The following is a 20985-nucleotide window of genomic DNA, read 5'->3' on the forward strand; positions in this document are numbered from 1 at the left end:
TTAAGAACGTAACATCACAATTGAAAGAATCAGAGAAGCAAGAACACTTCAGCCCCAAAGCTAGCAGAAGACAAGAAATGAACAAAATTAGAGCTGAACTGAAGGAAATCAGGGCACAAAAAACCATTCAAAAGATTAATGAATCCAGGAGTTGGTTTTTGAAAAAATTAATAAGATAGATAGGCTGCTGGCTAGACTACTAAAGAGAGAAGATCCAAATAAACACAATTAGAAATGAAGGGAATGTTACCACTGACCCCACAGAAATAAAAATAACCATCAGAAACCATCAGTCTAGCTGCTGGCTAGACTAATAAAGAGAGAAGATCCAAATAAACACAACTAGAAATGAAGGGAGTGTTACCACTGACCCCACAGAAATAAAAATAACCATCAGAAACTATTGTGAACAACACCTCTATGCACACAAACTAGAAAGCCTAGATGAGATGAATAAATTCCTGAACACATACACCCTCCCAAGACTTAACGAGGAAGAAATTGATTCCCTGAACAGACCAATAAGGAACTCCAAAATTGAATCAGTAATAAATAGCCTACCAACCAAAAAAAGCCAAGGACCTGATGGATAAACAGCTGAGTTCTACCTGATGTACGAAGAAGAGCTGCTACTATTCTTACTGAAACGATTTCAAAAAATTGAGGAGGAAGGACTCCTCCCCAGCTAATTCTGTGAGGCCAGCATCATCCCGATACCAAAGCCTGGGAGAGACACAACAAAGAAACCTTCAGGCCAATATTCCTGTTGAACATCACTGCAAAAATCCTTAACAAAATACTTGTAAACCGAATTTAGCAGCACATCAAAAAGCTAATCCACCATGATCAAGTGGGCTTTATCACTGCAATGCAAAGTTGGCTCAGCATACTCAAATCAATAAATGTGATTCATCACATAAACAAAACTAGACAGAAACCAAATGCTTATCTCAATAGATGCAGAAAAGGCTTTAGATAAAATTCAACAGCCTTTCATGTTAAAAACTCTCAAGAAACTAGGTATTGAAGGAATATACCTCAAAATAATACAAGCCATCTATGACAAACCTACAGCCAACATTATACTGAATGGGGAAAAGCTGAATGCATTCCCCTTGAAAACAGCACAAGACAAGCATGCCCTCTCTCACCACTCCTATTCAACATAGTTTTGGAAGTCCTAGCTATAGCAGTCAGGCAAGACAAAGAAATAAAGGACATCCAAATAGAAAAGAAGAAGTCAAACTGTCCCTATTTGCAGATGATATGATTCTATATGCAGAAAACTCTATAGTCTCGGCCGAAAAGCTCCTTCAGGTGATAAACAACTTCAGCAAAGTTTTGGATACAAAAATCAATGTACAAAAATCACTAACATTCCTATACACCAACAATAGCCAAGCAGAGAGGTAAACCAGGATAACAAAAAGAATAAGACACCTAGCAATACAGCTAACCAGGGAGGTGAAAGATCTTTACAATGAGAATTACAAAACACTGCTCAAAGAAATCAGAAGACACAAACAAATGGGAAAACATCCCACGCTCATGGGTAGGAAGAATCAATATTATTAAAATGGCCATACTACCCAAAGCAATGTACAGATGCAATGCTATTCCTATCAAATTACCAATGAAATTCTTCACAGAGCTGGAAAACACTATTTTAAAACTCATATGGAGCTAACAAAGAACCTGAATAGCCAAGGCAATCCTAAACAAAAAGGACAAAGCTGGAGGCATCACATTACCTGACTTAAAACTATACTACAGGGCCACAGTAACCAAAACAGCATGGTACTGGTACAAACAGACCCATAGGCCAATGGAACAGAATAGACAGCCAGGAAATAAGGCTGCACACCTGTAGCCATCTGACCTTTGACAAAGTCAACAAAAGTAAGCAATGGTGAAAGCACTCCCAATAAAATAAATGGTGCTGGGATAACTGGCTAGCCATATGCAGAAGACTGAAGCTGGACCCCTTTCTTACACCACATACAAAAATCAACTCAAGATGGATTAAAGACTTAAATATAAAACCCCAAACTGTAAAAAACCCTAGAAAACAACCTAGGCAATACCATCTTGGACATAGGAACAGGCAAAGATTTCATGACAAAGACACCAAAAGCAATCACAAGAAAAGCAAAAATTTACAAGTGAGATCTAATTAAACTTAAGAGTTTCTGCACAGTGAAAGAAACTATCAACAGAGGAAGCAGCCTACAGAATGGAAGAAAATATTTGCAAACTATGTATCTGACAAAGGTCTAATATCCAGCATCTATAAGGAACTTAAACAAATTTACAAGAGAAGAACAAACAGTCCCGTTAAAATGTGGATAAAGGACATGAACAGACACTTTTCAAAAGAAGACATACATGCAGCCAACAAGCATATGAAAAAAAGCTCAATATTACTGATCATTAGAGAAATGCAAATCAAAAACACAAGGAGATACCATCTCACACCAGTCTGAATGGCTGTTGTTAAAAAGTAAAAAATGAACAGATACTGGTGAGGTTGCAGAGAAAAGGAAATACTGATATACTGTTGGTGGGAGTGCAAATTAGTTCAGCCATTGTGTAAAACAGTATGGCAATTCCTCAAAGAGCTAAAAGCAGAACTGCTATTTGACCCAGCAATCTCATTACTGGATATTCTCAGAGGAATATAAAGCATTCTACCATAAAGACGCATGCGAATGTTCATTACAGCACTTTTCACAATAGCAAAGACAGGGAATCAACCTAAATGCTCATCAGTGACTGACTGGATAAAGGAAATGTGGTACGTATACACCATGGATACTATGCAGCCATAAAAAAGAATGAGATCATGTCTTTTGTGGGAACATGGATGGAGCTGGAGGCTATTATCTTCAACAAACTAATGCAGGAAAGACAGCCAAATACTGCATGTTCTAAGTGGGAGCTAGATGATGAGAACTCATGAACACAAGGAAACAACAGACACTGGGTCTACTTAAGGGTGGAGGGTGGGCGGGGGCAGAGGAGTAGAAAAGATAACTACTAGGTACTGGGCTTAATTCCTGGATAATGAAATAATCTGTAAAACAAAATAATCTGTAAAATCTGTGACACGAGTTTACCTGTGGAACAAACCTTCACATGTACCCCTGAACTTAAAATAAAAGTTAAAAAATTTAGTATTTCTAGAACATACACATGAAGACCAAAGTTATGACACTTTTAGTTTGAGTAAAAATATATACTCATTTAAAACTTACTTTGTTATTAAAACCATCTTGAATATTAAAATTTGTTTGATGCACATTTAAAGGTATAACTTGTGAGCATATAAAAATAAGTTATTATTTTTATATGTTCAAGTATATAACTTGTTAGTTTAGTATCAAAATTAAGTAGGAGCTGCATGAAACTTCATTATAAAACTGTTCAATGCTTTTATTCCAATGTCTATAAAGAAACTTTAAAAACTCTCTTATTGTACTGTTTGATTTATTTAAATATAGAGAATTATCTTACAGGATTTATTGCAAGGTACCTAAAAGAGGATGATTGTTGCTATTTTTTCTCAAGGAATTCATTTAATTGCTTTAGACAATGTGTTAACAGATTTTTATTTCCTCTCCGGCTATTACTTAAGCTGCAGCAGCTTAAGCTTTGCTCACTTCAGCTAATGAAGACTAATACCACTGTGTTCCTGCCAGTTCAATTCTTTCTAATTTAGCTTTTCTAAAATAATGCCTGTTAATAAGCAAGGTCGTAGATGAACAGAGGATAAAAATAATTCTGTGCTTCATTAACCATCAATCTGTAGCCTTTCTTCTGTTGTCTTAACGTGGAAGGAATGGTTAGTTTAAAAAAATGTTTGCTTTTATGAGTTGTTTGTTTTATGTGACGGAGCCATTCTAATGTCAGGAACAGATCTTTGGGGCAATTTTCCTTAATGCAGTTTGTGAAAAACAGGCCATAATAAATATTACATTAACATATAAACATGCTAAAGTTTGTGTTTTTATTAAAGATGAGGGAAAATGACATTCTAACAGCTATATTTAGTCATGTTCAGGTAAAATGAACCTTGAGTATCTAAGGTATATGGTTACATTGATCAACTAAGATCCTTCTACTGTAGTTATTATTTTTTCTTTATGCTTATTTTTAAATGATAGATTACATTTACAACTAGCTGGTCAATCTTTGAGATGTATTATAAATGAAAGGCTGGTTAGCATAGAAAACTGGTAGATAATAAAGGAAAGATATATGGGACTGTAGGTCTAATGTAGGTCGAGTTGTCATTCTGGGGATTTGTTTTCTTACATATTTTTAGCAATTGTACCTGTTTTATTGCAGAGACTTGAGGAGACATGTTCTTATTCATTTGTTCCTAAAACTGTTCAGGTGTGCTTGCTTACTTGACCAAAGTACTGTAAATAACTTTTCATAAAATAATGAATTGGAATTTATGTTGAACCTATACAATTTAGAATGGGTTTATGTTGGGTTAACATATTTATGCTCAATATTATAGTCTCACGGAAATGTGCCACTTTAATAAATATTTAATAAATATTACTTGACTTAATAAGGACAATCTAGGTGTTTTGTTATGGATTTCCAAAGTACAGTATAGTTGATTACAATGAGATATTTTCTTTCAGCACTTAAAGGAGTTTATTTGTAAAGTCTTTATGTGAAGTTGTTGCAAAAAATATAATTACTTTTTACCGCACTTGGAATCAGGAAGTTTAGAATTCACCATGGTTTAACCTGTTAGTGATAGAAAATATTTTTTAAAAATAAGCTATATTTAGTGATTTTATTAAATTGGTAAATTCTAATGAATGTATATTTATTTTGTTTCCTATGCAGCATCATTAGTTATTCCTGCTGGTAGAACTCTTCCAAGTTTTACCACAGCAGAACTGGTATGTAGCTTACTTAAAATATATTTTAAAAGACATGTCCCACTGTTAGCGAGTGGTGGCAAAATGCTGAACATAGATGTAATTTCTTACCCTCCAGTTGAAAGTGAAAAGATGTGGCCGGGCGCGGTGGCTCACGCCTGTAATTCCAGCACTTTGGGAGGCTGAGGCAGGTGGATTGCCTGAGATCAGGAGTTTGAGACCAGCCTGGCCAACATGGCAAAACCCTGTCTCTACTAAAAGTACAAAAATTAGCTGGGTGTAGTGGTGGGCGCCTAGTAATCCCAGCTACTCAGGAGGCTGAGGCAGGAGAATCTCTTGAACCTGGGAGGCGGAGGTTGCAGTGAGCTGAGATCATGCCATTGCACTCCAGCGTGGGTGACAAGAACAAAATTCTGTCTCAAAGAAAAAAAAAAAAAGATGTGGTAAAGAGTGGGGTGACAGAATAGCATCTGTAGCATAGATGTAATAAAACGCAGAAGTTCCAGAATTGACATTTTCTTGCCAAGTTTTCCTGTCTTTCAGAGCAGTTGTTAGCATCTTCCAAGACTGTACCTACAAGGTTAGGAAATGTCTGAAGTTATGTTGTATGGGGTTTTAATACACTATATAATGTTATATGCTTGTTACATCCTAAATAAATAATTTTGAGGTTTTTTTTCAGATTTTTTTTCCCCTCTAGAATGGAGCAACATCATAGTTTTGACTTTAATTAAACTGGAATATTTTTGTCATTTTGTACCTTCGTGAAGTATAGCTTGTTTATATTTTCCCCCTTAGTACTTGAAGGCAGAAGATACATTTACAAGTTAACATAGAAAACCAAGTAGTTTTTCGGGTAGAGAAGAATAGCAGCTTTTCACTTTTATCTTTCTTCCATGGTACTGAGAGTAGTACATAATCTACTAACTGTTTTTTAATTTTCTTTCAGCCCATAGGTTGCCTTTGTAGGGCAAATGCTTAGTGGGCTAGTTATTTCCATTTCTTCACTAAGAACAGCCAAAACCACACACCTTAATAGGATTTTTGGAAAGAATGGTGCTGCTTTTGATAGGAGACCAATGAAGAAATACCTCTGCCTTTGGAATTCAAACAAATATTTTTTTTCCTGTTAAAATAAGTAATAAGCTTGTATTAATAAAAAGTAAAAATGGGCTGAGCACAGTGGCTCACACCTGTAATCTCAGTGCTTTGGGAGACTGAGGTACTGGGCACCATAGCAAGACCATATTAATACAATTTTTTTTTTTTTTTTTTTTTTTGAGACAGAGTCTTACTCTGTCACCCAAGTCTGGAGTGCGGTGGCATGATCTCGGCTCACTGCAACCTCCGCCTCCCAGGTTCAAGTGATTCTTCTGCTTCAGCCTCCCGAGTAACGAGATTACAGACGCCCGCCACCATGCCCAACTAATTTTTTGTATTTTAGTTGAGATGGGGTTTCACCATGTTGGCCAGGGTGGTCTCAAACTCCTGACCTCAAGTGATCCACCCACCATGGCCTCCCAAAGTGCTGGGATTACAGGCGTGAGCCACCGTGCCCGGCCTGTACAAAATTTTTTTAAAAAAATTAGCCAAGCATGGTGGTGTGTGCCTGTAGTCCTGGCTACTTGAGAGGCTGAGGCAAAAGGATCACTTGAGCCTCGTAATTGGAGATTACAGTGAGTTATGATTGCACCACTGCTCTTCAGCCTGGGCAACAGAATGAAACCCTGTCTCTTAAAAATAAAAATGCAAAACATTTATAAATAAAATAAAGAGTTCTGTAGTCTTATACTCCAAGAATAAATGTTTTAACTCTTTGATGTTTATTCATCCAGACTTCTTTCATGAAAGCTATATTAGTTTTTAGGATAAAAAGTAGGGATACTCTTTTTACTGTTTCTGTAATTTCTGTTTTCTAATTTAGTAATATAGATGGACTGCTTTCAATTTCAGTTAGTACAAATTGACCTTCGTGGATGCAGCACAGTTTAATTAACAAACTTTTGTTGGTGAACATTTAAATTATTTCCAGCATTTTTCTAATATAGTATTCTATTGATTATGCTTGTGTATATGTCTGTGTGTTTCTGTGATAATCAGGATAAATTTCTAAAAGTAGAGTTCATGGGTCAAAGGTCATTTGTATTTTCATTTTTGGTATATATATTGCAAAAATTATCCTCCAAAAGGGTTGTACCAATATACATTCATACAAACAGTAGTTTGAGAGAACCAATTTTTATCACATTCTCAACAACACTGGATGTTATCAGTCTTTCAAATTTTTGCAGGTCTGAGAACCAATGGCCCTGCAAAGCTATGTCTTGGGCAAGTTTTTTGAGTTAATGTTTATACTGTTCATTAGGACTTACTAGCTTCATTGCTAATAACTGTAGAATAGGATTCCTCTTGATCCTTAATGGGATGATCGATATTGAAAACTATTTTATTCAAAGAACTCAGCCCTAATATTAAATGTTAAGTATTGTCAAACTATTGTCCAGAATCAGATTTTTTGACTCCCTGTGAGATCAGGGAAAAAAAGATACAAGTAAAGTCCTTTTCTAACTTTCTAATATAAATTTCTTATATCTAGGGCACTTCAAACTCCAGTGCAAACTTTACTTTTCCTGGTTATCCCATTCATGTACCAGCAGGTGTGACACTACAGACTGTATCTGGTGAGAGTATATTCTAAGAATCTTTTTGTTTTCAGCATTGGTACTATTTTTTGGACATTAAGCTTCATGATTTTTAAATAAACTATATACCAGAAGTTATAAGAACTTTTAATAAAATTGATTTTAAAAGTAATGATAAATGGTGGTTTTGATTGTTATAGAGACAATCTACCACAAAAGGCACTGTACTAGGCCTGTCCTATATTTGATTCCCAGTTCTCTTTCCCAACATTGTATAGGGGTTCTTTGTATATATTTTTTCTAATTCAAGTCAGTTATCTAAATTTTAACAAATACAAAATAAAATAACTTACCTGCATTCCTGCTAGCTCTAATTACGGATTAAAGATTAGGATGATCAACCTTTGCCCCCTTTCTTATTAGGGATTGCATGGTCTGATAGGACATCCAATAGTTTGGAGGTTAACCGGTTTCTGCTTTTCCGAGCACCATCTCTTGATTTTGAAGAGGATCATACCTCTTCTTTGGGTTGTTGTAAAGTTTAAGTAAAGCACCTAACTCAACACTCAAAAATAAGTCCTTTTTTTTGAGATGGAGTCTCGCTCTGTCGCCCACGCTGTAGTGCAGTGGCGCAATCTCTGCTCACTGCAAGCTCCGCCTCCTGGGTTCACGCCATTCTCCTGCCTCAGCCTCCCAAGTAGCTGGGACTACAGGCGCCGGCCACCACGCCCGGCTAATTTTTTGTATTTTTAGTAGAGACAGGGTTTCACCGTTTTAGCCAGGAGGGTCTTGATCTCCTGACCTCGTGATCCACCTGCCTTGGCCTCCCAAAGTGCTGGGATTACAGGCATGAGCCACCGCGCCTGGCCTTTTTTTTTTTTTCTTTTATAGTGTTATTTTAGAGGAAGAAAGGAGAAGAAATTTGATTACTTTTGAAATCATTAAACTCTCTTTTGGATAGCATTGTCTTGCTATATGGCATTTTAAATATATGAAGTATATTTTACATGATTATGTTTGTTAAAATCCAGTTTTTTGGCTGATAACATTAATTTATCAAACAATGGAAGAGGTTCATGGATTAAATATTGGTGTCCTTTATGTATCTCAAAGTGTGCCATAAAAGCAATTGTGGGAAAAGTCTGGAATTAAAGCAAAACATATGTAATTAAAAAAATAAGAATTTATATATTGATTGTAGAAATCCAAAAATGTCTGAAGAATAAAAGAAAAACCCCTAGAGATAACCACCATTAACATATTGGTGTATTTTTTTCCAGCCTTTGTGGATGAGATTTTTTTTTTTTTTTGTGGTGGTTGTCAAAGGAAATTTTAATTCTATTATACTTACAATTTTGCTTTCTCCTTTTTAAGGTCACCTTTATAAAGTCAATGTACCAATTATGGTGACAGAGACTTCTGGAAGAGCAGGTATTCTTCAGCATCCAATTCAGCAAGTATTTCAACAGCTTGGCCAGCCTTCAGTAATACAAACTAGTGTTCCACAATTGAATCCATGGTCTCTTCAAGCAACTACTGAAAAATCACAGAGAATTGAAACCGTGCTACAGCAACCCGCAATTCTACCTTCTGGGCCAGTAGATAGGAAACACTTAGAAAATGCCACCAGTGATATACTTGTATCTCCTGGAAATGAGCATAAAATCGTGCCTGAAGCTTTGTTGTGTCATCAGGAAAGTTCTCACTATATCAGTCTTCCAGGTGTTGTATTTTCTCCACAGGTCTCTCAAACAAATTCTAATGTGGAGTCAGTGCTCAGTGGTTCAGCTAGCATGGCTCAAAATCTGCATGATGAGTCCCTCTCCACAAGCCCTCATGGGGCTCTCCACCAGCACGTGACTGATATTCAGCTTCATATTCTTAAAAATAGGATGTATGGATGTGATTCTGTAAAGCAACCAAGAAATATAGAGGAACCCAGCAACATACCTGTATCAGAGAAGGTATAGTTCTGTGTCCAACTTCTTGGTATCAGGGGACAGATAGTGGCCAGTAACTGGATATCCTGAATATTTTCAAGCTGTAATGTTAATCAGAATTATATATATTTTGTTTTTTTCTTTAGAAGATTATTTCTTTTTTCTAGTGATTTAAAAAAATTTTTAATTGTGATAAAATACACGTAACATAAAGTTTACCAACTTAACCATTTTTAAGTGTACAGATCAGTAGTGTTATATACATTCACATGTGGTACAACCAAGAAGATTCTTTCTTTATTGTTGTTTTTAGTATAACTGTCAGTCCTTGAAATATTCATGCTTAGCATTTCTAAATTTTTCATTTCAATAAATGAATTATAATACTTCTTCAGAGAAAATGCGTTTGTTTTAAAAGGTAATCTGTTTACCAGTCTCTTATACTGGGAAACTTATTTTATGTCTGCAGATAAAAATTAAAAGACCCAGAAATCCAGACCAGTAGTTTGTGGAATGTTTTGAGATAATTAATTATCAAATGTAATATACAAAAGAAGCCCACAAAGTTTTTTTTTTCCTGCTCTACCTAATTTTTCTGAATTCCTATATGGAAACTTTTCCCTACATGAGGGATTATGTTGCTAGTAATTTTGTTTCTCCCTGCCTACTAAAATACTAGTTTTACTTAATTTCTTTTGGTATTGAAACCACTAAAAATTAGCTTCTAGTTAACTTTTGATATTGAAAATAGGTCTGAATTTTTAATTTTCAAGGAATTCATAGTAATGGCAGAAAGACTCATGGAGAATTTTGGATTATAAAAATTAAAAAAATTGCATTCTTTTTACAAATATAAAATACATCTTGTGGCTAATTCTATTTACACAATTTAGGACATGTGAAAAATACTTAAAGGTTTTTGCTCCAGCTAGTGGTTTAGCCATCATCTAGACCCACTGTACAAATCTGTAGCAATGGATAGTTAAGCACAACCTTAATATTTTATCTTCATGATATTTAAATTTTGCTAGTTAGGGAAAGACATAGGGCATAGTGAAAGGCCAGGAACAAAGAAAATGACAATCAGAAACTATTTGGCCTGTTTTAGAATGTTTCAGATATTTATTGAAACCTGTTCAAGATCTCTGAGCAAATCTGTTTTTAGTTTTTCTATAAGTGTTCATATTAAAATGTTTTATTGAGGTTTTTTTTACGTTTTTTAACATAACATATAACACTTAGTAAATAAATGTAGGTTAAACTAATAAGTATGAAACATTTGATTTTGAGGTAAAACTAACTACAAATGTAAAATGTTTGTTTTCATCACTACTACTTTTGGAGGCACTTTTTACCTGGATTCTGTGTGAATTTTGCAGATGTTTGGTGTGATGAGTCAAGGACTTATTCTACTGTTATGTATTGTATGTCATCATGTACTTTTTCTGATATGGGGAAATAGATTAGTTAAGGGATATTAATCAAGGATTGATTGGGGGTAGTGGTTGAGAACATAAGCTTTGGAACCACAGTAGGTTCAAATTCTAGGTTCACTACTTGCAAGCAAACTATATAACATTACTCCCTGAAATTCAATTTTAGTCTTTAAATTGGCCCCTAATACCAATCTTGTAATTTTGAGAATTATCAGAGATAATATATATGAAGTATTTAAAGCTTCTGGCACCATAGTAAGCTTTAGATTAGTGCTATTATGCTCTATGAGCTTGTAATATATTGGGTAACTTTTCATGTAACTTGTTTGTTAGTTTTAAAAAAGGTCTATGTCTAACACACAAAATCCAAACGTACAAGAGTATATGTAAAATGCTTATTTATTTATTGTAAGTTACCTTTAAGATAGTAAGCAGTTTGGTAGGTTTATGCTGAACTAATTTTCAAAGACTTTACAAGTAGTTTTTCTTTTTATAAGTAACTTAAAGCAAGTTATAATCAACTATACTTGTTTACTTTTCCTGTGTTGTAAACTACTGGAGAGCTTATGGATCTATAGGTTTAAGAGGTAAGGATCTATGTTGTTTGAACATTCTGTTTCACAAAATATATTCTTGATAGCTTTTAATTCTGCCCCTTGTAATTTCTGTTCTATTTTCTTTGTCTGAATTTGACTCTTCTAGGTACTTTAAAAATGGAATCATACAATATTTGCCCTTTTGTGACTGTCTTATTTCACTTAGTATAATGTTTTCAAGGTTAGTCGATATCGTAGCATGTGTCAGAATTTCATTCCTTTTTAAGGCTGAATCATGTGAGTTTGACAATTTTTAAATTTTGTAAATATTCCTGGAATCTGTTCCTTCATCTCCACTCCTAGTGCCATTGCCCTAATTGTTTCTCATGTGGGATAATTTTATCTAACTAATTTATCAGTGTGTAGTCTCTTCTACCTCTTACTCTGCTCCTGCCAATCCATCCATCCTAGAGGTCAAAGGCCTAAGCTTCAGGGATCAGAATTGTTTTGAATCCCTTCTCTATTCCTTAATAATTGTATGACTTAGAGAAGTTACTCATTTGTAAAATAAAGATAATAGTATCTACCATGTAATTGTGGTAGGATTAGTTAAGAAAATTAATGTAAAGTGCTCAGCAGCACACTGGCACCGTGGTAAATGCTCAGTGCATGTTAGCACTCTCTTCCTGGTGGCTTCCAGAGATCTGTCCCAAATGCAGCCTGGTTGTGTCTTTTCTCCACTTAACACATCACCGACTGCCCTTCACCTATAATAAATAAACTTCAGGCACCTTAATATACATATACAAAGCATATTACGCGTTCTTTCTCTGCCAAAGTTTCCTATTTACTCTTCCTTCCTCACATGAATATACTTTACTGGGAACACCAAACCGTGAGTGATTCTTGGTTTTCAACCTTGTTATTTCCTACTTCTCTTTTTGCTTTTTGTTATCCCCTCTATTTGATGCCTGGAGTTTCTTCCCACCATCCTTTCCTCTGGTTAATTCCTGCTTATTCATTACTTCCTCCAGAAATCTTCAGTACTTCTCCACCTAATTTTTCCTTCATTATTAAATTGGATGTAGCTCTTCTGTTTTGTCACCTGAAGTATGTCTGTCATAATGTAGTTCAAAGATACATTGATATGTTCTCTTTGCATTGACAGTTACATTTATCTTTGTATATGCAGTAATCTAAGAATATATACACACTCGTGTGTAGTGGAGTATAAGCTTTTAAGGATAGGATCTAGAATTACGTTTATTTGGCTCAGTGGTTCTGAATCCTGGCTGAATGATCAAATCATTGGGCCATTAAAAAAAAGTGCAGGTCTACCCTAAGAGATTAAATCTAATTGATCTGGAATGAGGCTTAGTCATCAATATTTAAGAGCTTCTGGAGTGATTGTAATATATAGTCAAGGCTAAGAACCACTGATGTAGCTCAAAATCAATGTATGAGTGAAAAATGGAGTGAGAGGATAAGAGAATATATAACTTCTAAGTAAGAGTTTTCATTTTTCTTCTAAGTCCACACATATTCCTCTAAAATATAAAATGTCCTATCAATAATTGACTTTAGAATTCATTTAAATTGAGTAAATACTTTTTGAGTCTCTATATGCCATTGTGAAATTAATATATCAAAATCAGAGATGTTTAAACCAGATATGTGACTTTTTCTTCATTATAAGAAGAAAGCCAATTTAACAAAATAATTTTTTATATCTGTCAAAATATATTAAGATATATTTCATTCCAAATAAGAGTGGAGTGGCATGGGATGCTACTGTACATGGTCAGGCAATATATAATTATCATTGTTACTCTATTGTAATAAATTAAATTCCTGTTAAGAATTAAAGAAAATATGCCCTGCCATTACAATTATAGACCACTGAATTTGATATAGTTTACGTTGAAAATGTGAAAAGAATGTGTATTGTAGGTTAGGCTTATCTTGTTTTATATTTATCCCCACATATGGGTATGAAGTTCTGCAAATTTTTACTAGCCATTGGGAAAATAGGGTTCTTTCATTGGAGGGAAGCTTAAATTGCAAAGACTGGAAGCTGGATTTGGCGAACAAAGCTTTATCATGAAGCATCCTATTTACTTGCTTATTGTACTACCCAGTCACAGAAGCCACATACAATCAAAGACACCTTGGTTAAGCTGAGAATATTGGACATTATTGAGCTGGTTTGTTTTAGTGCAGAGAAAATAAAAAAAAAGGAAGCATTTCCTCTGTCAGATGACATCATCTGCATTAGAATTGTTGACATTTCTTTCACGTTTGGCTGGAATTCATAGATGTATCAGCAGCGACTTTCCTTTAACATTCAACAGGCTAAAAATACCAGTGTTTCTTAGGGCTGCCAACATCTGATTTTAATCATTATTTGTACATTGATACCATCAAAGAATTTTTATGTTGTGAGTTCTTTTTTTTTTTTTTTTTTAAATTGGAAACTGACATCTTTGTAATAATGAAAAGTTTGGTTAGTAAAATTTGGTACTCTATACCATTGGAGCTCCTGAGATGCTTGGCAAACATGGTTTTGCTGCTTTAGTAAAGAAAGCGTTGCTGTCTATTTCAGCACATGGCATGCATTAGTGCTAAGACACAGCCAATAATTCTAAAAGAAGTCTCATCTGCTGACATAAAACTCAAATATATTAGAGCCACGGTTTTGAATTATTGTGTTTCCCAAGACATTTATCAAAAAATGTAGGCAGAATATTAAATTCTTCATGCAGAATTTTTCTGGCTTTTCAAAGGACAATGCTTGAAGCCCTTGTTTGATCCTTGGGGAGACATTTACTATTTTTGAGAGGGAGCAAAAGCCCCCTCATAACAATTTGATCTAGAGGAGTTCATTGATGATCTATGTGGTGGACGTTTGGCTATATGAAAGACTTAAATCTTTGTTTTCATGGTCCTGTGGTATCAGTTATGGATGTTGCTGTACAACTCCTGGCTATTTTGGTCAAATTACCACTTCAGAAGAGATTGGAGTCAGATAATCATGTGAATTTTTCAATGCCTGGTGGAAGTGCTTCTGAAGAAAAAAGTTGAGAATGATAACTCTTTTGCTGTTTTGAAATTAAGTTTAGATTTGTAATTTTAATCCTCTCCCAGAGTAAAGAGGGCCTCACTGATTGAAGGAAAATGGTATGAGGCTACGTAAATTCAAGTAGAAGAGTCCTGGAATCTTCAGTATTCCTTTATAAGCTTATCCTTGTCTGGCAAGGTAACATAGAAGCTCTGATTCATTTTTCAACAGAAGATCTTGTGGCTTAAAGTTTTCAGTACTTGTTGCTATTAAAATGAAAAGCCAGGCCGGGCATGGTGGCTGCTGCCTGTAATCCCAGCACTTTGGGAGGCCAAAGCGGATGGATCACTTGAGGTTAGGAGTTCGAGACCAGCCTGGTCAACGTGGTGAAAACTCGTCTCTACTAAAAATACAAAAATTAGCGGAGTGTGGTGGCAGGCACCTGTAATCCCAGCTACTCGGGATCTGAGGCAAGAGAATCACTTGAACCTGGGAGGCGGAGGTTGCAGTGAGCCAAGATCGTCCCACTGCACTCCAGCCTGGGCAACAGAGCGAGACCCCATCTCAAAAACAACAAACAAACAGCCAATTTCAACATGTGGTTTAGGCCTAGGACAAATCTTATACTAATTGACTTTATTATTATTATCATTTATTTATTTTTGAGATGGAGTCTCGCTCTGTCGCCCAGACTGGAGTGCAGTGGTGTGATCTCGGCGCACTGCAACCCTTGCCTCCCAGGTTCAAGAGATTCTTCTGCCTCAGCGTCTCAAGTAGCTGGGATTACAGGCCTATGCCACCACGCCCAGCTAGTTTTTGTATTTTTGGTAGACACGGGGGTTTCACCGTGTTGGCCAGGCTGGACTCGAACTAATTGACTTTAAAATAACTCAAATTTAGGCCGGGCACGGTGGCTCACGCCTGTAATCCCAGCACTTTGGGAGGCTGAGGCGGGTGGATCACAAGGTCAGGAGATCAAGATCATTCTGGCTAACATGGTGAAACCCCATCTCTACTAAAAATACAAAAAATTAGCCTGGCGTGCGGCTGTAGTCCCAGCTACTCGGGAGGCTGAGGCAGGAGGATGGCATGAACCCAGGAGGCTGAGCTTGCAGTGACCCGAGATTGCGCCACTGCACTCCAGCCTGGGTGACAGAGCCAGACTCTGTCTCAAAAAAAAAAAAAAAAAAAAGTAAAATAACTCAAATTTAAAGAGGCATGATATATATACAATAAAATTCATCTTTTAAAAGGTAGCTTTTAGATTTACCATATGAATTTTGGCAAACATGAAGTTATACAACCCTACCTGAGATAGAGAACATTTTCATTACCTCCCAGTTTCCTCATGTGCCTTTGTAGTCAATACCCTCTTTCAACCCCCAGTTCCTGGCGGTCACTCACTGACCTGTTTTCTTTTGGGGTAGGTTTACCTTTTCCAGAATATTAGACACTATCATGCAGCATGCATTTTTAGCACAATACATTTGAGATTCATCCATGTTGTTGCATGTATCAGTATATTCCATTGTATGGTTATACCACATTTATTTACCAGTTTGACATTTGGGTTGTTTCCAGTTTTTGGTATTTGTGAATAAAGCCCCTGAAAGGGCCGGGCACTGGGTGATCCCAGCACTTTGGGAGACTGAGGCGGTTGGATCACTTGAGGTCAGGAGTTCAAGACCAGCCTGGCCAACATGGCAAAACCCCATCTCTACTAAAAATACAAAAATTAGCTGGGCATGGTGGCACACACCTGTAATCCCAGCTACTTGGGAGGCTGAGGCATGAGAGAGAATAGCTTGAACCCAGTGAGCTGAGATCATGCCACTGCACTGTGGCCTGGGAGACAGAGTGAGACTGTGTCTCAAAAAAAAAAAAAAAAAAAAAAAGAAACAGCCCCGAAAACATTTATATGTAGATTTTATATGTGTAAATACCTAGGAGTGGGATTGTTAGATAAGATGATAAACGTATGCTTATGAGAAACAGTCAAACTCATTTCCAAGGTGGCTGTATTTCCACCAGCAATGTATGGTGGAATTTTGCATTTCTACCAGCAATGTATAAGATTTGTTGTTGGTACACCACATCCTTGGTAGTTAACACTATCTTTTGGTAAGGAGAAGTTTTTAATTTTGATGAAGTCCAGTTTATTATTTTTATCTTCCAGTTTATTTATTTTGACTTTCAGTCCCGTATATTATTTTGACTTCTGCTTCATGTGTCTTATCAAAGGCTGCAAAGATTTTATAATACTTCTAAAAACTGTATAGTTATAGTTTTGTCATTTAGGCCTGTGATCTATTCTGGGCTAGTTTTGTATATGGTGCAAGGTTAGGATGGAGGTTCATTTTTTTTTTTGGAGACAGAGTCTCGCTCTGTCGCCCAGGCTGGAGTACAGTGGTATGATCTCAGCTCACTGGGTTCAAGCGATTCTCCTGTCTCAGTCTCCCGCGAAGCTGGGATTACAGGTGCCCACCACCATGCCTGGCTAATTTTTTGTATTTTTAGTACAGACAGGGTTTCACCATACTGGTCAGGCTGGCCTTGACCTCCTGACCTCAGGTGATCCCCCTGCCTCAGCCTCTCAAAGTGCTGGGGAAACAGGGGTGAGCCACCGTGCCTGGATAGCTCATTTTTTTTTACATATGGATATTCAATTGTTTTAGCATTGTTTGTTAAAAAGACTGCCTTGTCTCACTGAGTTAGCTGTCTGTGCACATTATGTATCTAAAGCACTTCACCTTTAGTGAAAATTACTACATCTGTGTTGGTTTATTACTGAAGGTTCACTCTGTTTCATTAATTCATGTGACTATCTTTTTGCTAGGACCACACTGTCTTGATTATGGTAAATTTATAGTAAATCAGAGAGTGTGAATCTCTCAAATTTGTTCTTTTTTCCAAATTGTTTGGGCTATTCTAATTCCTTTATATTTCCATATAAATATTAGGATGCGCTTGTCAATTTCTAAAAAGAAAAATTGCTAAGACTGATTTGGGTTTGTGTTGAATCTATAGATCAGTAAGGGGAATTGACGTCTTCACAATATTGAGTCTTCCAATTCATGGACATAAGTTTTTTTTTTAATTTAGGTTTTTGACTTCTGTTACTAATATTTTCTAGTTTTTAGCATATACATATTATACATATTCTGTTATATTTTTATCTAAATATTTCATGGTTTTTGGTGCTATTATAAATGGTACCTAAAACTGCCATCAAGAACATTTTTATTCTTATTTTTAAGCTTCATTTGCATTGCATTTTTAAAAATATATTTTTATTTTTAATTAGTTAATTCATTAGTTTGTAGAGACAGACAGAGTCTCACTGTGTTATCCAGGTTTGTCTCAAATGCCTGGCCTCAAGCACTTGTCTCACTTTGGCTTCCCAAAGTGCTGGGATTATAGACGTATGAGCCACCATGCCCAGCCTAAAATACATTTTTTAAAAGGTAGAAAAAACTGAAAATTTCTAAGGCATTTGAAGTACATTGCCACAATATTTTAAAAAGAGGTTGTGCCAGTTTTTCCTGCCACCAGTACTTTGATCAGTTTTGCCACATAGTATAGTATATCACTACTGATTTTTAAAAATTCAATTTTTCTCCTGTGCTAAAGTACACATAAAATTAACTATTTATTTTATTTTTAAATTATTTTTACAATTTTTAACTGTATAGCTTAGTGACAGTAAGTATATTCACATTGTTGTGTAGCTATCACCACCACCCATCTCTAGAAATTTTTCATCTTCCCAAACTCCATGCCCATTAAGCAGTAACTCCCCATTTCTCACTCTCCCAGTCCCTGACAAACAACAATTCTACTTTCCATCTCTATGAATTTGACCACTTTAGTTACCTCATATAAGTGGAATCAGACAGTACTTGCCCTTCTTCATTTAGCGTAATATCTCAGGGTTCATCCATGTTGTAGCATGTATCAGAACTTATCTCCTTGTTTTAAGGTGAATAATATCTCATTGTATGTATATACTGCATTTTGTTTATTCATTCAAGTGTCTGTGGATACTTGGGTTGCTTCCAGCTTTTGGCTATTGTGAATAATGCTGCTGTAAACATGGCGTACAAATATCTCTTCAAATTCCTGTCTTTAATTTTTTCGGATATATATGGAGAAATGGAACTGCAAAATCATATGACAATTCTACTTTTAATCTTATTAGGAACTGCCATACAGTTTCCATAGAGGCTGCACCAGTTTACATTCTCAACAGTAGTGCACAAGCATCTGATTTCTCCATATCCCCACCAACGCTTATTTTCTGTTTTTTTTTTTTTTTTTTTTTTTTTTTTTAATAATTGCTACCCTAAGGGGTTTGAAGTGGTATCTTGTAGTTTTGATATGTATTTCCCTAATAATTAGTGATGTTGAACATTGTTTTATGTTCTTCTGGCCACTTGTATGCATTCTTTGTAGAGAAGTCTATTCAAGTCCTTTGCCCATTTTTTTAAAATTGGACTGTTTGCTCTGTTGTTGTTGACTTGTAGTTCTTTATATATCCTGGATATTCACCTCTTATCAGATGTATGATTTGCAAATATTTTCTCCCATTTTATGGGTTGCCTTTACTCTCTGTTAATAATGTCTTTTGAGCACAAAAGGTTTTGATTTTGGTGAAGTCCATTTTATCTATTTTTTTCTTTTGTTGCCTATGCTTTTGGTGTCATATCCAATAAATTATTTTCAAATCCAATGTCATGAAATTTTCACCACCTGTTTTCCTCTAAGAGATTTATAGTTTTAGTTCTTATCTTTAGCTCTTTGATCCATTTTGAGTTAATTTTCGTAGATGGTATAAATTTAGGGTTCAACTCCATTATTTTCAATGTGGTGCTAGTTTTCCCAAAATGATTTGTTGAAAAGACTGTCCATTCCACATTGAATGGTCTTGTTACCCTTATGGAAAATTGACGTTTTATGTAACGGTTTGTTGCTGGGATCTTTATTTTATTGGTGTATACACCTGTCTATACATTAATAACACACTGGTTTTATTTTTTAATTTTTATTATTTATCGTTTCAGCTTTTATTTAAGATTCAGGGAGTACATGTGCAAGGTTTGTGACATAGGTATATTGCATCATGCTGAGGTTTGGGGTGTGATTGATCCTGTCATCCAGGAACTATGCATAGTACCCAAAACAGTTCTTCAGCCCTTGCCCTCACTTCCCCTTCTCCCTTTTTGGAGTCCCCAATGTCTATTATTTCCACCACTGGGTGTCCGTATGTGCCCAATATTTAGCTCCTATTTGTAAGTGAGAACATCTCTTTATGGTTTTCTGTTCCTGTGTTAATTCACTTAGGATGATGGCCTTCGGCAGTATGCATGTTGCTGCAAAGAACATGATTTCTTTTTTTTGGGGCTGCATAGTATTCCACGGTTTATATGTAACACATTTTCTTTATTCAGTCCACCATGTATGGGCACCTGGGCTGATTCCATGTCTTTGCTATTGTGAATAGTACTTCAATAAACATAAGAGTGCAGGTACGTTTTTGGTAGAAATATTTCTTTTCCTTTGGGTATATATCCAGTAATGGGATTGCTGGATTGAACGGTAGCTCTATTTTCTTTGAGAAATCTCCAAACTGCTTTCCACAGTGGCTGAACTAATTTACATTCCCACCAACATTGTACAAACATTCCTTTTCCTCTGCAGCCTTGCTGGAATCTCTTGTTTTTTTTTTTTGACTTTTTAATAATATCCATTCTGACTTGTGTGAGATGATATCTTATTGCATTTTTGATTTGTATTTCTCTGATGATTAGTGATGTGGAACATTTTTTCATATGTTTGTTGGCTGCTTCTATATCTTCTTTTGAGAAGTATCTGTTCATATCATTTGCCTACTTTTTAACGTGGTCATTTGATTTTTGCTTGTTGAATTGTTTAAGTTTCTTATAAATTCTGGATACTACAACTTTGTCAGATGCACAGTTTGTGAATATTTTCTCTAATTCTGTAGATTGTTCACTCTGTTGATAGTTTCTTTTGCTGTGCAGAACCTCTTTAGTTTAATTAGGTCTCACTTGTCAATTATTGTTTTTGTTGCAATAGCTTTTGAATAATTAGTTATAAATTATTTCCCAAGGCTGATGTCCAGAATGGTGTTTCTCAAGTTTTTTCTAGGATTGTTTATAGTTTGAGATCTTACATTTAAATCTTCAATCCATCTTGAGTTAAGTTTTGTATATGGTGAAAGGTAGGAGTCCAGTTTCATTCTTCTGCATATGGCTAGCCAGCTATCCCATCACCATTTATTGAATAGGGAGTCCTTTCCCCATTGCTTATTTTTGTTGACTTTGTCAAAGATCAGATGGCTTTAGATGCATGGCTTTATTTCTAAGTTCTCTATTCTGTTCCATTGGTCTATGTGTCTGTTTTTGTACCAGTGCTATGCTGCTTTGGTTACTGTAGCCTTATAATATGGGTT

General features: G+C 35.6%; 2 protein-coding genes across 5 annotated transcripts in view; both read left to right on the plus strand.

Moving 5' to 3' along the window:
• STON1-GTF2A1L (STON1-GTF2A1L readthrough) overlaps nt 1-20985 on the plus strand; it is a 246595-nt gene that overhangs the window by 107611 nt on the left and 117999 nt on the right. For 2 of the 3 annotated variants that reach the window (NM_001198593.2, NM_172311.3), the window contains exons 6-8: nt 4867-4922; nt 7498-7582; nt 8918-9507. In NM_001198593.2, coding sequence (NP_001185522.1) covers nt 4867-4922; nt 7498-7582; nt 8918-9507 — 731 coding nt within the window. The remainder of the gene's footprint in view (nt 1-4866; nt 4923-7497; nt 7583-8917; nt 9508-20985) is intronic. The other variant, NM_001198594.1, reaches the window with a different exon arrangement.
• The window catches only part of GTF2A1L (general transcription factor IIA subunit 1 like), a 61749-nt gene that overhangs the window by 19680 nt on the left and 21084 nt on the right, over nt 1-20985 (plus strand). For both annotated transcript variants that reach the window (NM_006872.5, NM_001193487.3), the window contains 3 exons: nt 4867-4922; nt 7498-7582; nt 8918-9507. In NM_006872.5, the coding sequence (NP_006863.2) occupies nt 4867-4922; nt 7498-7582; nt 8918-9507 (731 nt within the window). The remainder of the gene's footprint in view (nt 1-4866; nt 4923-7497; nt 7583-8917; nt 9508-20985) is intronic.

This window comes from Homo sapiens, chromosome 2, assembly GCF_000001405.40.
Source record: "Homo sapiens chromosome 2, GRCh38.p14 Primary Assembly".
NCBI classification, from domain to species: Eukaryota; Metazoa; Chordata; class Mammalia; order Primates; family Hominidae; genus Homo; species Homo sapiens.